The 16,071-nt window shown below is 50.5% G+C and overlaps 2 annotated features.

The window, feature by feature from the left end:
* Positions 1,726 to 2,226: a transcriptional cis regulatory region, noted in NCBI's record as "intergenic|chr19:13301925-13302425 region (GRCh37/hg19 assembly coordinates) targeted for CRISPR interference". NCBI's record gives its function as "negatively regulates PRDX2 gene expression in K562 cells {active_cell/tissue: K562}" and the evidence as "EXISTENCE:mutant phenotype evidence [ECO:0000015][PMID:31784727]".
* Positions 13,686 to 13,886: a silencer, noted in NCBI's record as "peak3367 fragment used in MPRA reporter construct". NCBI's record gives its function as "represses an SCP1 promoter by STARR-seq MPRAs in K562 erythroleukemia cells {active_cell/tissue: K562}" and the evidence as "EXISTENCE:reporter gene assay evidence [ECO:0000049][PMID:32103011]".

Raw genomic sequence — 16,071 nt, forward strand, 5'->3', positions numbered from 1 at the left:
TGCCTCAGCCTCCCAAGTAGCTGGGATTACAGGCATGTGCCACCACACCTGGCTAATTTTGTATTTTTAGTAGAGACGGGGTTTCTCCATGTTGGTCAGGCTGGTCTCGAACTCCCGACCTCAGGTGATCTGCCCGCCTCGGTATACCAAAGCGCTGGGATTACAGGCGTAATCCACTGTGCCCAGCAGAGATGGGGTTTCACTTTTTTGTCCAGGCTGGTCTTGAACTCCTGAGTTCAAGCAATCTGCTCACCTCGGCCTCTCAAAATGTTGGGATTACAGTTGTAACCCACTGCATCAGGCTAGAAATTTTAAATGTGGCATACTTTGGATTTCCATTGGGAGGCTCTGGTTTAACACTACTGTGCCTCCAGAGACAACACATCACACCTATTTCCTCTGCCCAGCAGGTGGAAACCCCCAGGGCCACTGTGGACCCACAGCAAGGCAGAGAGAAGTCTTAGAAGAGCCGAGGTGGGGAGGAGAGCTGTAGCTGTCCACCCACTAACTGGAATTTTCTTTCTTTTTTTTTTTTTTTTTTTTTTGAGACAAGGGCTCGCTTTGTGGGCCAGCTGGAATGCAGTGGTGCAATCTCGGCTCACTGCAATCTCTGCCTCCTGGGTTCAAGCGATTCTCCTACCTCAGCCTCCCTAGTAGCTTGGATTACAGGCACCTGCCACCACGCTCAGCTAATTTTTTTTTTTTTTTTCTGAGATGGAGTTTTGCTCTTGTTGCCCAGGCTGGAGCGTAATGGCGTGATCTCGGCTCACTGCAACCTCTGCCTCCCAGGTTCAAGCAATTCTCCTGCCTCAGCCTCCCGAGTAGCTGGGATTACAGGCATGCACTACCATGGCCGACTAATTTTGTATTTTTAGTAGAGACAGGGTTTCTCCATGTTGAGGCTGGTCTCGAACTCCTGACCTCAGGTGGTCCGCCCGCCTCGGCCTCCCAAAGTGCTGGGATTACAGGCGTGAGCCACTGCGCCTGGCCAACGCTTAGCTAATTTTTGTATTTTTAGTAGAGACGGGGTTTCACCATGTTGGCCAGGCTGGTCATGAACTCCTGTCCTCAAGAGATCCGCCCGCCTCGGCCTCACAAAATACTGAGATTGCAGGTGTGAGTCACCGTGCCTGGCCTGGACTTTTCTTTTTAATTGTTAATTATTTTTTCTTTTAAATTTTTTTTTTTGGGATGGAGTTTCACTTTTGTTGTGCAGGCTGGAGTGCAGTGGTATGATCTTGGCTCACTGCAACCTCTACCTCCTGGGTTCAAGCAATTCTCCTGCCTCAGCTTCCCGAGTAGCTGGGACTACAGGCTCCTGCCACCACACTCAGCTAATTTTTGTATATTTAGTAGAGGCGGGGTTTCACCATGTTGGCCAGGCTGATCTCAAACTCCCGACCTCAAATTATCCACCCACCTCGGCCTCCCAAAGTGTTGGGATTACAGGCGGGACCCACCGTGCCTGGCCTAATTTTTTTTTTTTTTTTTTGCCAGTCTTAACTCTGTCACACAGGCTGGAATGCAGTGGTGTGGTCATAGCTCACTGCAGTCTCCACCTCCCAGGCTCAAGTGATCCTCCCGCCTCAGCCTCCGAAGTAGCCGGGACTACAGGCATGAGGCACCATGCCTAGCTAATTTTTGTAACGATGGGGTCTTGCCATGTTGCCCAGGGTGGTCTTGAACTTCTGGCCTCAGGCGATCTGCCCCCCTCAGCCTCCGAAAGTGCTAGGATTACAAGCACGGGCCACTGCACCCAGCCACTGACGGGACTTTGGATTCATGGTTTGGTTCCAGAGGTAGCAGGACCTAACTCTCCCTGGCTGGCTGGGGCGGGTAGGGGAAAGAGATGGTTTCAATATCTTGAACCACCCTGAACTTTGGACCTCCTGAAGTTCAAGGACCTGGAGATTGTTGTTCTGGATCACGATTTAGGAGGGGGCGGAGGCGGGGGTGGGGTGGACGTGGCAGAAGTTAACTAGGTCTCAACCAGCAGGGGCGTGTCCTCACCTCAGGGAAATGGCAAGTGTGACTGGATGGAAACCAGAAACCAACCGGTTATAGATTCAAGTCTCATCCTTTTTACAATTGTATGACATTGGACAAGTAATTGAGCCTTTTTGAGCCTTTCTGACTCTTTATTTTCTTTTGAGACGGAGTCTTGCTCTGTCGCCCAGATTGGAGTGCCAGGGTGGGATCAGGGCTCACTGCAACCTCCACCTCCTGGGTTCAAGCAATTCTCCTGTCTCAGCCTCCTGAGTAAGCTGGGATTACAGGTGCTCACCACCATGTCCAGCCAATTTTTGTATTTTTAATAGAGATGGGGTTTCACTATGTTGGCCAGGCTGATCTTGAACTCCTGACCGCAAGTGACCCACCTGCCTCGGCCTCCCAAAGTGCTGGGATTACAGGCATGAGCCACTGTGCCCGGCCTGACTCTTACACTTTTCTGATCAGAAACTTTCTCCCTTGGATCCTTTGAGGCCAGGAGTTTGAGACCAGGTTGGGCAACATAGCAAAACCCTGTCTCTTTTTTTTTTTTTGAGACGGAGTTTCACTCTTGTTGCCCAGGCTGGAGTGCAATGGTGTGATCTCGGCTCACCGCAACCTCCGCCTCCCGGGTTCAAGCAATCCTCCTGTCTCAGCCTCCCGAGTAGCTGGGATTACAGGCATGCACCACCACGCCTGGCTAATTTTGTATTTTTTAGTAGAGATGGGGTTTCTCCATGTTGGTCAGGCTGGTCTCAAACTCCCGACCACAGGTGATCCATCTGCCTTGGCCTCCCAAAGTGCTGGGATTACAGCTGTGAGCCACCACGCCCGGCTTTTTTTTTTTTTTTTGAGCCAGAGTTTTGCTATTGTCACACAGGCTGGAGTACAATGGCGTGATCTTGGATCACTGTAACCTCTGCCTCCCTGGTTCAAGCAATTCTCCTGCCTCAGTCCCGCTGAGTAACTGGGATTACACATGCCCACCACCACCCCCGGCTAATTTTTGTGTTTTTAGTAGAGATGTTGGGCGGGGTGGGGGGGGGGGGGTCTCACCACATTGGCCAGGCTGGTCTCGAACTCCTGACCTCAGATTATCCACGCGCCTTGGCCTCCCAAAGTGTTGGGATTACAGGCATGAGCCGCCGTGCCTGGCCAAAACCCTGTCTCTTAAACAAACAAAAAAGGTTAGGTGCGGTGGCTCACGCCTGTAATCCCAGCACTTTTGGAGGCCAAGGCGGGCGGATCACTTGAGGTCAGGAGTTTGAGACCAGCCTGGCCAATGTGATGAGACCCCATCTCTACTAAAAACACAAAAATTAGTGAGGCATGGTGGCGGGCACCTGTAGTCCCAGCTACTCGGGAGGCTGACACAAGAGAATTGCTTCAACCCGGGAGGCGGAGGTTGCAGTGAGGTGAGATCATGCCACTGTACTCCAGCTTGGGCGACAGAGCAAGACTGTATCTCAAAAAATAAATAAATAAAAAGTAAAAAATAAAAATTAGTTGGGTGCAGCGGCACCCACCTGTAGTCCTAGCTACTAAGTAGGCTCAGGTGGGAGAATTGCTTGAAATCTGGACTTTAAGGCCAGCCTGGGCAACATAGTGAGATCCATCTCTATTTTATTTATTTATTTATTTGAGAGAGGGTCTGGCTCTGTCACCCAGGCTGGAGCGCAGTGGTGTGTTCATAGCTCACTGCAGCCTCGACCTCCTGGGCTCAAGAGATCCTCCCATCCCAACCTCCCAAGTAGCTGGGACCACAGGAGTGTGGCAGGCTGGGCATGGTGGCTCACACCTATAATCCCAGCACTTTGGGAGGCCAAGGCAGGTGGATCATTTGAGGCCAGGAGTTTAAGACCAGCCTGACCAACATGGAGAAAGCCCGTCTCTATTAAAAATACAAAATTAGCCAGGCGTGGTGGCACATGCCTGTAATCTCAGCTACCCAGAAGGCTGAGGCAGGAGAATCGCTTGAACCCAGGAGGCGGAGGTTGCAGTGAGCCGAGATCACACCATTGCACAGAGCGAAACCTCGTCTCAAAAAAAGAAAAAAAGAAGTGAGGTCTCACTATGTTGCCCAGCCTTGTCTCAAACTCCTGGACTCAAGTGATCCTCCCGTCTTGGCCTCCCAAAGTGCTGGGATTTAAAAAAAAAAAGTAGCCAGGTGTGGTGGCACTCACCTGTGGTCGCAGCTACTTGGGAGGCTGAGGTGGGAGGTTCAATTGGAGGAGGTCGAGGGTGCAGTGAGCTATAATGGGACCACGGTACTCCAGCCTGGGAAACAAAGTGAGACACTGTCTCAACAACAACGACAGAAAACCAAACCAAAACAAAAAAGAAGAAAAAGAAAAAAGAGACTGCCTCTGTCTTTCCAGTTTTGGTTTCCTTCCTTCCTTCCTTCCTTCCTTTTTCTCTTTCTTCTTTTTTTTTTTTTGAGACAGTGTCTCGCTCTGTTGCCCAGGCTGGAGTGCAGTGGTGCGATCTTGGCTCACTGCAATCTCTGCCTCCCGGGTTCAGAACAGCAATTTTCCTGCTTCAGCCTTCCGAGTAGCTAGGACTACAGACATGCGCCACCATGCCTGGCTAATTTTTGTATTTTTAGTAGAGATGGGGTTTCACCATGTTGGCCAGGCTGGTCTCAAGCCCCTGACCTCAAATGATCCATCTGCCTTGGCCTCCCAAAATGCTGGGATTACAGGCGTGAGCCACTGTGCCTGGCCTGCCACTTTCTCTACCTCTCCTAAGCAGCCACTCCCCTCACACAAGAGAATTGCTTCAACCCGGGAGGCGGAGGTTGCAGTGAGGTGAGATTGTGCCGCTGTACTCCAGCCTGGGCGACAGAGCAAGACTGTATCTCAAAAAAATAATAATAATAATAATAAATAAAAATTAAAAATTAGTTGGGCGCTGTGAAACCCACCTATAGTGGCCCACTGCGCCTGGCCATCCAGTTAGAATTAAGAGTGGTCTCTCCGGGCGTGGTGGCTCACGCCTGTAATCCCAGCACTTTGGGAGGCTGAGGTGGGAGGATCACCTGCGGTCGGGAGTTTGAGACCAGCCTAACCAACATGGTGAAACCCCATCTCTACAAAATATACAAAATTAGGCGGGCATGGTGGCGCATGCCTGTAATCCCAGCTACTTGGGAGGCTGAGGCAGGAGAATCGCTTGAATCTGGGAGGCGGAGGTTGCGGTGAGCCGAAATCGCACCACTGCACTCCTGCCTGGGCAACAAGAGCAAAACTCCATCTCAAAAAAAAAAAAAAAAAAAAAAAGTGGTCTAATCTTTGGCTGTTTTCCATCTGGCCTCCAGGTGGCGCTGTCGACTGACTCCTTGGCTTGTTCAGGCTGTGCAACCTCAGGTAAACCAAGGCCCCCGGGAGCCTGGAGCTTGGGACACTACCTTGAGCAAGGCCCTGGACCTAATTTTGTGGAGTTCCAAATCTAATTTGATTGTCCAATTGATTTACTTTTTTTTGTTTGTTTGTTTTGAGACAGGGTCTCACTCTGTCGCATAGGCTGGAGTGCAGTGGTGGTGCGATCTCTGCTCACTGCAACTTCTGCCTTCCTGGTTCAAGGAATTCTTATGCCTCAGCGTCCTGAGTAGCTGGGGTTACAGGCATGCACCACCACGTCTGGCTAACTTTTGTATTTTTCGTAGAGACAGGGTTTCACCATGTTGGCCAGGCTGGTCCCGAACTCCTGACCTCAAGTGATCCACCTGCCTCGGGCTCCCAAAGTGCTGGGATTATAGGTGTGAATCACGGCTCCCGGATTTTTTTCAAAAATTTCAAAATTTATTATTTGTTTGAGACACAGTCTCACTCTGTTGCCCAGGCTGGAGTGCAATGGGGTGGTCTCGGCTCACTGCAACCTCCGACCCATGGGGTGAAGGGGTTCTCAAGCCTCTCAGGCTCCTGAGTAGCTGGGATTACAGGTGTGAGCCACTGCACCCGGCCGAAGTTCTAGATTCTTTTTGTTTGTTTGTTTTGAGACGAAGTCTTGCTCTGTCGAGATCTCGGTTCATTTCAACCTCCACCTCCCAGGTTCAAGCAATCCTGCTGCCTCAGCCTCCTGAGTAGCTCTGACTACAGGCACGCACCACCACGCCCAGTTTGTATTTTTAGTAGAGACAGGGTTTCACCATGTTGGCCAGGATGGTCTCGATCTCTTTCTTTTTGTTTTTTGAGACGGTATCTCGCTCTGTGGCTCACTGCAACCTCTGCCCAGGTTGAAGCAATTCTCCCAGTAGCTCAATTACTACAATGGTGGGGATTACAGGAACCCACCATTATGCCCGGCTAATTTTTGTATTTTTATAGAGACTGCGTTTCACCATTTTGGCCAGGCTGGTAGTGAACTCCTGACACCTCAAGTGATCTGCCCGCCTCGGCCTCCCAAAGCGGTGGGATTACAGGTGTGAGCCACCGCTCCCAGCCTCGAGTTCTAGATTTGTTAATCAGTTACAGTTTTCTCACCTTTGGCTGTTTGCCAGCTGGCCTCCAGGTGACGCTGTCGACCTGCCTCCTCCTCCACTTGTACAGACTGCCACCTCAGGTCAACCAAGGGCCTCCAGGCCGTCCCTGGAGCCTGGAGCTCGGGACACCCCATTGAACAAGGCCCGGGACTTAATCTTGTGCAGTTTTGAATCTAATTTGATTGTCCAATTGATTGATTATTATACTGTGGTCTTTGATTGGACAAGGCGGTCCTTGAGACTCAGGAAACACATTTTGGAGAAGAAGGTGCCTGGGCACCCTTAGAACATTTTTCCAAGCTGGGCATTGTGGCATGTGCCTGTAGTCCCGGCTACTTGGGAGTCTGAGGCAGGAGGATCCCTTGAGTCTACAAGTTTCAGGCCAGCCTGGGTAATATAACAATACCCTGACTTAAAAAAAAAAAAGTGCTTGATGTAATCCCATTTGTTGATTTTTCCTTTTGTTGCCTGTGCTTTTGGGGCCTTGCACAAAAAATCTTTGCCCAGACCAACATCTGAGCATTTTCCCAATGTTTTCTTATTTTCCTTCTTTCTTTCTTTTTTCTTTTTTTTTTTGAAACAGAGTCTTGCTTTGTTGCCAGGCTGGAGTGCAGTGGCGCGATATCGGCTCACTGCAGCCTCTGCCTCTCGGGTTCAAGCAATTCCACTGTCTCAGCCTCCAGAGTAGCTGGGACTACAGGCGTGCGCCACCACGCCAGGCTAATTTTTTTGTATTTTAGTAGAGATGGGGTTTTACCATGTTGGCCAGGATGGTCTCGAACTCCTGACCTCGTGATCCGCCCGCCTTGGCCTCCCAAAGTGCTGGGATTACAGGTGTGAGCCACCTCGCCCAGGCTTCTTTTTTGTTTGTTTGTTTCTTTTGTTTTTTTTTGAGGCAGAGTCTCACTCTGTCATGCAGGCTGGAGTGCAATGGCACAATCTCAGCACACTGCAGCCTCTGCCTCCCCGGCTCAAGTGATTCTCCTGCCTCAGCCTCCTCAGTAGCTGGAATTACAGGCACCCACTACTGTGCCTGGCTAATTTTTGTGTTCTTAGTAGAAATGTGGTTTTGCCATGTTGGCTAGGCTGGTTTTTTTTTTTTTTTTTGAGACAGAGTCTTGCTCTGTCACCCAGGCTGGAGTGCAGTGGCGCGATCTCGGCTCACTGCAAGCTCTGCCTCCCGGATTCACGCCATTCTCCTGCCTCAGCCTCCCGAGTAGCTGGGACTACAGGCGCCCGCACCATGCCTGGCTAATTTTTTTTTTTTTTGTATTTTTAGTAGAGATGGGGTTTCACCGTGTTAGCCAGGATGGTCTTGATCTCCTGACCTCGTGATCAGCCCGCCTCGGCCTCCTTTCAAAGTGCTGGGATTACAGGCTTGAGCCACCACACCCAGCCCAGGTTGGTATTGAACTTCTGACCTCAGGTGATCCTCCCACCTCGGCCTCCCAAAGTGCTGGGTTACAGGTTTGAGCCACTGCGCCCGGCCTCTTTGGTTTTTTGTTTTTTTGTTTGTATTTTTGCGACAGGGTCTCTCTCTGTCATCCAGGCTGGAGTGCAGTGGTGCAATCTGGGCTCACTGCAACCTCTGCCTAACAGGCTCAAGTGATTCTTGTGCCTCAGCCTCCCGAGTAACTAGGACTACAGGCACGAGCCACCACACCCAGCTAATTTTTGTATTTTTGTAGATGTGGGGTTTCACCATGTTGCCTAGGCTAGTCTCAAACTGCTGGACTCAAATAGTCCGCCTGCCTCAACCTTCCAAAGTGCTGGGATTACAGGCATGAGCCGTCGCGCCCGGCCTCCAAAGTTTCCTTCTAGGAGTTTCATAGTTTCAAATCTTAGATTTAGGTTTGTAATCCATTTTGATTTGATTTTTGTGTGTGGTGAGAGATAGGGGCCTAGTTTCATTCTTCTGCACATAGCCAGCCAGTTTTCCGAGCACCATTTTATTGAAGAAACTGTCCTTTCCCCAGTATATATTCTTTTTTTTTTTTTTTGAGAGACAGTCTTACTCTATTGCCCAGGCTGGAGTTCAGTGGCACGGTCTCGGTGCAACCTCTGGCTCCCGGGTTCAAGTGATTCTCCTGCCTCAGCCTCCTGAGTAGCTGGGATTACAGGCGCCCACCACCACATCCGGCTAGTTTTTGTATTTTTAGTAGAGACTGGGTTTTACCATCTTGGCCAGGCTGGTCTTGAACTCTTGACCTCAGGTGATGCACCCACCTCAGCCTCCCAAAGTGCTGGGATTACTGACGTGAGCCATGGCACCCCACCTAAATATTTATATTTAAGATGACACATATCCCAAGTACACTTGATTTGATCTTTACAAATTATATGAATGTATTAAATTATCACATGTACCCCCAAAACTATGTACATCTATGATGCATCAATAAAAAAAAGTATTGAGTGTAGTGGCTCATGCTTGTAATTCCAACTACTCAAGAGGCTGAGGTGGAGGATCGTTTGAGGCCAGGAGTTGCAGACCATCCTGGGCAACATAGCAAGATGCAGTTTGCACAAAAAATTGCTGGATGTGGTAGTGTGCACCTGTAGTCCCAGATACTTGGGAGACTGAGGAGGGAGGATTGGTTGAGCCCAGGAGCTCCAGGCTGCAGTGAGCCATGATCGCGCCATTGCACTGCAGCTTTGATGACAGAGCAAGACCCTGTTCATATATATATATATATATATATATATATATATATATATATACACACATAAATGTCCAAATATATATATATCAGAGTGGGCAGGAGGGAGGTCGCCTTTTGCAGGGCTGCAGGGACAGGTATGAGAGAACCAAGAGTGGGTGAGAGGGGCTGGGCCTGATGTAAACGTGTGCAGGGCTCGTAGGGGCCTGGGGCTGGGGGAAGCTCACAGGGGGAGAGGTAGTAGGCGTGACGGGTGTGACAGGAGACCGCAGCGTGGGACCGGCCATCATTCCAGGCAGGGCAGGGGCGGCAGAGACAGGAGCCCAGATGGAACGTAGGCACCCTATATAGCGGACGTGGCTGTCATCACCGATTCAGGACGTGGGTGGGATGACATTGGTTTCCGTGTCTGTCCCCTCTGCAGTCTCTCCTCCGCGATGGCTGCCCCTGTCTGCTCATCCTCACCTGGCCTTCAGCAGGTGCTCAGCTGACATCGGTGAGGGAATGGGAGTGATTCGTCATCACAGTAACCGTGTACTTCAGGTAAACGCTCAGAAGGAAGCCAGTTCCCACAGGACTCACAGTGGGAGACAGAGCGGAGCGTCCAGTGCTTCCTCGGCTAGCTGTATCCCACGATGCCGGGTCATTTGCGGACACAGTCTGCACCTCCTTTATCGCTTGTGTTACTGATGTGGGTTGAATAGCATCTGCTTTAGTCTGTTTGGACTGCTATAACAAAATATCGTAGACTGGGGGATTCATGAACGACAGAAACGTGTAGCTCACATTTCTGGAGGCAGGGAAGTCCAAGGATAGGATTTTTTTTTTTTTTTTTGAGACGGAGTTTTGCTCTTGTTGCCCAGGCTAGTGTGCAGTGGCGCAATGTTGGCTCACTGCAACCTCCACCTTCCAGTCTCAAGTGATTCTCCTGCCTCAGCCTCCCAAGTCACTGGGATTACAGGCGCCCACCACCATGCTCAGGTATTTTTTTTTGTATTTTTAGTAGAGACGGGGTTTCACCATGTTGGTCAGGCTGGTCTCGAACTGCTGACCTTGTGATCCACCTGCCTCGGCCTCCTAGAGTGCTGGGATTACAGGCTTGAGCCACCACGCCCAGCCCTGACTTTTTTTTTTTTTGAGACAGAGGTTCGCTCTTGTTGCCCAGGCTGGAGGGCGATGATGCGATCTTGGCTCACTGCAGCCTCCGTCTCCCAGGTTCAAGCGATTCTCTTGTCTCAGCCTCCTGAGTAGCTGGGACTACAGGTGTCTGCCACAATGCCTGGTTATTTATTTATTTATTTTTGTATTTTTAGTAGAGAAGGGGTTTCTCCATGTTGGCCATGCTGGTCTTGAACTCCTGATCTCAGGTGATCCGCCTGCCTCGGCCTCCCAGAGTGCTGGGATTATGTGTGTAAACCACTGTGCCCAGCCAAATGTCTGCTATTGTAAGCCACCCAGCCTGTGATAATTTATTACAGCAGCCACAGGAAGAGACTAATACAACTCCTATTTCTTTAATTTTTTATTTTATTTTATTTTTTTGAGACGGAGTTTCCCTCTGTCTCCCAGGCTGGAGTGCAGTGGCATGATCTCGGCTCACTACGACCTCCGCTTCCCAGGTTCAAGCCAATTCTCCTGCCTCAGCCTCCTGAGTAGCTGGGATTACAGGTGCCCGCTACCACACCTGGCTGATTTTTGTATTTTTAGTAGAGATGGGGTTTCATCATGTTGTCCAGGCTGGTCTTGAACTCCTGACCTCAGGTGATGCACCCACCTCGGCCTCCCGAAGTGCTGGGATTACAGGCATGAGCCACCATGCCTGGCCCAACTCCTATTTCTTTAATTTTTTTTTGAGATGGGTTCTTGCTAGGTTGCCCAGTCTGCTCTCAAACTCCTGGGCTCAAGTGATCCTCTCGCCTTAGCCTTAGCTGGGACTACAGGTGCTTGCTACCACACCTGACTTCTTTAATTTTTTTTTTTTTTTTTTTTTTTTGAGATGATGCCTTGCTCTATCTCCCAGACTGGAGGCTCTGTCACCCAGGCTGGAGTGCAGTGGTGCAATCTTGTCTCACTGCAACCTCTGCCTCCCGTGTTCAAGCGATTCTCCTGCCTCAGTCTCCTGAGTAGGTGGGATTACAGGCACCCGCTGCCACACCTGGCTAATTTCTGTATTTTTTAGTAGAGACGGGGTTTCACCATGTTGGCTAGGCTGGTCTCGAACTCCTGACCTTGTGATCTACCTGCCTCGGCCTCCCAAAGTGCTGGGATTACAGGCATCAGCCACTGCGCCTGGCCACTTTTTTTTTTTTTTTAACTTGAAACATTTTATCTTTTTTTTTTTTTTTGAGATAGGGTTTCGCTCTGTCACCCAGGCTGGAGTACAGTGGTGTGATGACAGCTCACTGAAGCTTCAACCTCCTGGGCTCAGGTGATCCTCCCACCTCAGCCTCCCAAAATATTGGATTATAGGCATGAGCCACTGCACCTGGCCTGTTTTATCACTTCTTTTAAATTTTTTTTTTGAGAAAGAGCCTTGCTCCGTCACCCAGGCTGGAGTACAGTGGTGCGATCTCGGCTCACTGCAACCTCCGCCTCCCGGGTTCAAGCGATTGTCCTGCCTCAGCCTCCCGAGTAGCTGGGATTACAGGCATGCACCACCACACCCAGCTAACTTTGTATTTTTAGTAGAGATGGGGTTTCTCCACGTTGGTCAGGCTGGTCTGGAACTCCCGACCTCAGGTGATCTGCTCGCCTCGGCCTTCCAAAGTGCTGGGATTATAGGCGTGAGCCTCTGTGCCTGGCCCAGTTTTTTAAATTTATTTATTTTTTTGAGACAGAGCCTCTCTCCATCGCCCAGGCTGGAGTGCAGTGGTGTGATCTTGGCTCACTGCAACCTCCAGGGTTCAAGTGATTCTCCTGCCTTGGCCTCCTGAGTAGCTGGGACTACAGGTGCACGCCACCTCCCCTGTCTAATTTTTGTACAGTAGAGACGGGGTTTTGCCATGTTGGCCAGGCTGTTCTCAAACTCCTGACCTCCATGATCTGCCTGCCTCAGGCTTCCAAAGTGCTGGGATTACAGGCGTGAGCCACCGTGCCCGGCCCTGTTTTATCACTTTAATCATTGGTATCTGTAAGAGACTGGCTTTGCTGGGCTGGTGGGGCTTTCTCCAATGCACAGTGAAATAAATGCAGCTTCCTGGCTGGGTGTCCTGACCCCATCCTCTCTGCTTCCGGGTATTTCCCTAAAGTTGAGCCTTCACCCCAGCGTTGCCCTGAGTTCCTGAGGCTGGGGTTCCAGTCCTGGAAGCTGGGGTGCTCTGGCTGGGCCCCCTGCACAGTCTGGGCTCTCTCACAAGTCCTCCAGCAGAGCGATGTCACCCTTCCACGTCCCCACCCCAGTTCTCTGACGGCAGCTGAAGGGGATCAGGATATGTTACTCTTAAAAATATATCACTTAGAGACCGGGCACAGTGACTCACGCCTGTAATCCAGCACTCTGGGAGGTGGAGGTGAGTGGATCATTTGAGCTCGGGAGTTCGAGACCAGCCTGGGCAACATGGCAAAACTCCATCTCTACCAAAAATACAAAAAATTCACCAGGCATATGGTGGCATCCACCTGTGGTCCCAGCTACTTGGGAGGCTGAGGTGGGAGGATGGCTCGAGGCTGCGAGGCTGAGGTTGCAGTGAGCCGAGATTGCACCACTGCCCTCCAGCCTGGGTGACAGAGCAAGACCCTGTCTCAAACAAACAAACAAACAATCTATTATCTATCTATCTATCTATCTATCTATCTATCTATCTATCTATGTATCTATCTATGTATCTATCTATCAACTTTAGCATAAGAATTATTCTGAGCTGAATGCAATAGAAAATCAGTAGATGGCCAGGCGCGGTGGCTGACGCCTATAATCCCAGCACTTTGGGAGGCCGAGGTGGGTGGATCACCTGAGGTCAGGAGTTGGAGACCATCCTGGCCAATATGGTGAAACCTTGTCTCTACTGAAAATATAAAAAATTAGCTGGGCATGGTGGTGGGAACCTATAGTCCCAGCTACTCGGGAGGCTGAGGCACAAGAATCCCTTGAACCTGGGAGGTGGAGGTTGCAGTGAGTCGAGATCCTGACACTACAATCCAGCCTGGGCAACAGAGCGAGACTCTGTCTCAAAAAAAAAAAAAAAAAAAAAAAATCAGTAGAGGCAGAAAGAATTCTCTGCTCTCTACTTTTCTGCCTCAAAGCCAGGCATAAACTTCTCTTTAAGAAGGTGACATAAGGCTGGGCGTGGTGGCTCACTCCTGTAATCCCAGCACTTTGGGAGGCCGAGGCGGGCAGATCACAAGGTCAGGAGATCAAGACCATCCTGGCTAACACGGTGAAACCCTGTCTCTACTAAAAATACAAAAAAATTAGCTGGGCATGGTGGCGGGCACCTATAGTTCCAGCTACTCAGGAGGCTGAGGCAGGAGAATGGCGTGATCCCAGGAGGCAGAGCTTGCAGTGAGCCAAGATTGCACCACTGCACTCCAGCCTGGGCAACAGAGTGCGACTCCGTTTCAAAAAAAAAGGTGACATAAATTTTCCTTTGTGGAGGTATCCCCCCGTCTCCTTACCAGGGAGAGCAGAATGACTCCTATCACTGCAGATAGTCAGTCCCAAGATGAGTCTACATAAACAAACCTTCCTAAAATAACTCTCTGTCTCCCTCTCTCTCTTTTTTTTTTGGAACAGGGTTTTGCTCTGTCACCCAGGCTGGAGTGCAGTGGTGTGATCATAGGTCACTGATGCCTTGACCTCCTGGGTTCAAGTGATCCTCCTACCTCAGCCTCCCAAGTAGCTGAGACCACAGGCATGCACCGCCATGCCGGGCTAACTTTTGTATTATTTATTTATTTATTTTTTGAGACGGAGTTTCGCTTTTGTTGCCCAGGCTGGAGCGCAATGGCATGATCTCGGCTCACTGCAACCTCCACCTCCCAGGTTCAAGTGATTCTCCTGCCTCAGCCTCCCGAGTAGCTGGGATTATAGGCATGCGCCACTACGCCCGGCTAATTTTGCATTTTTAGTAGAGATGGGGTTTTTCCATGTTGGCCAGGCTGTTCTCGAACTCCCGACCTCAGGTGATCCGCCCACCTCGGCCTCCCAAAGTGCTGGGATTACAGGCGTGAGCCACCACGCCTGGCCAATTTTTGTATTTTTTGTAGGAATGGGGTTTCACCATGTTGCCCAGGCTGGTCTCGAACTCCTGGGCTCAAGTGATCCTCCTGCCTCAGCCTCTCGAGTAGCTGGGACCACAGGCATGTACCACTACACTCTGCTTTTTTTTATTTTTAGTAGAGACAAGGTCTTGCCATGTTGCCCAGGCTGGTCTCGAACTCCTGAGCTCAAGCAGTCCACCCACCTTGGCCTCCCAAAGTGCTGGGGTTACAGGCGTGAGACACCGCGCCCGGCCAATGCCTGGGCTTTTGCACCTCAGGGCATTTCTTTTTCTTTTTTTTCTTGAGTCTCGCTCTGTTGCCCAGGCTGGAGTGCAGTGGCATGATCTCGGCTCACTGCAGGCTCTGCCTCCCGGGTTCACGCCATTCTCCTGCCTCAGCCTCCTGAGTAGCTGGGACTACAGGCGCCTGCCACTATGCCCGGCTGATTTTTTGTATTTTTAGCAGAGACGGGGTTTCACCGTGTTAGCCAGGATGGTCTTGATCTCCTGACCTCATGATCTGCCCGCCTCGGCCTCCCAAAGTGCTGGGATTACAGGCTTGAGCCACCGCGCCCGGTCACCTCAGGGCATTTCTATGACAATCATGCCCTTCCAACCTTCCAGGTGATGAGGCTCAAGCAATGGCCTGAGAGTATGTGAGACTGGGGACTAGGCCAAGCTCCGCCCCTCTTCCTCATCCCCTGATCTTCCCACCCTGTGTCTCCTGGGCAACTAACACTCTAGCCTGATGATGTGCACTGTGGAGGCCTTGGGTCTACCTCTTGGCACTCGGGCATAGACTTGGCCTTTGAGTTCAGGGCTCATGGGGGGCTTCGGTAGTGAACTTCATTCCTGGGAGGACAGATGGCTGCAGCCTCATTGACAGCAGAGGGAATTGCACAAACCCTGGCTTACTCCAGTGGCTCCTGGACACACTCAACCCCAGCACCATGGGAGGGGGACCAGAGGCCAGCTCTGCAATGGATGGGCAGCTTGTTTAGAAGCCTGTGGTGGTTGCCAGATTGCCTGGTTAGAAAGTTAAACCCCTCCCTCCCTCCCTTCCATTCCATTTTTTTTTTTTTTTTTTTTTGAGACGTAGTCTCACTCTGTCGCCCAGGCTGCAGTGCAGTGACGCAATCTCAGCTCACTGCAACCTCTGCCTCCCAGGTTCAAGCGATTTTCCTGCCTCAGCCTGCCAAGTATCTGGGAATATAGGCATGCACCACCACACCTGGCTAATTTTTTTATTTTTAGTAGAGACAGGGTTTCACTATGTTGGCCAGGCTGGTCTCAAACTCCTGACTTGGTGATCTGCTCACCTTGGCCTCCCAAAGTGCTGGGATTACAGGCGTGAGCCTCTGTACCCAGCCTTAAAAAAAACAAACTTTTTTTTTTAGAGACAGCGTCTTGCTATGTTGCCCAGGCTGGTCTTGAACTACTGGCCTCAAGTGATTCTCCCAAAGTGTTGAGATTACAAGAGTCAGACACCGCACTCGACCTCAAAACTTTGACTTCTCGTTGGACTGATCTTTTCCTAGATGCCATTATTTTATTTATTTATTTTTACTTTTAATTTTTTTAGAGATGGGATCTTTCTACGTCACCCAGGCTGGAATGCAATGGTTATTCACAGGTGTGATCATAGCTGGTCTTGACCTCGTGGGCTCAAGTGATCCTCCTGCCTCAGCCTCCTGAACAGCTGGGACTACAGGTGTGTGCCACCACATTTGGCTTACCATTATTT

Source organism: Homo sapiens, chromosome 19 (assembly GCF_000001405.40).
Source record: "Homo sapiens chromosome 19, GRCh38.p14 Primary Assembly".
Lineage (NCBI taxonomy): Eukaryota > Metazoa > Chordata > Mammalia > Primates > Hominidae > Homo > Homo sapiens.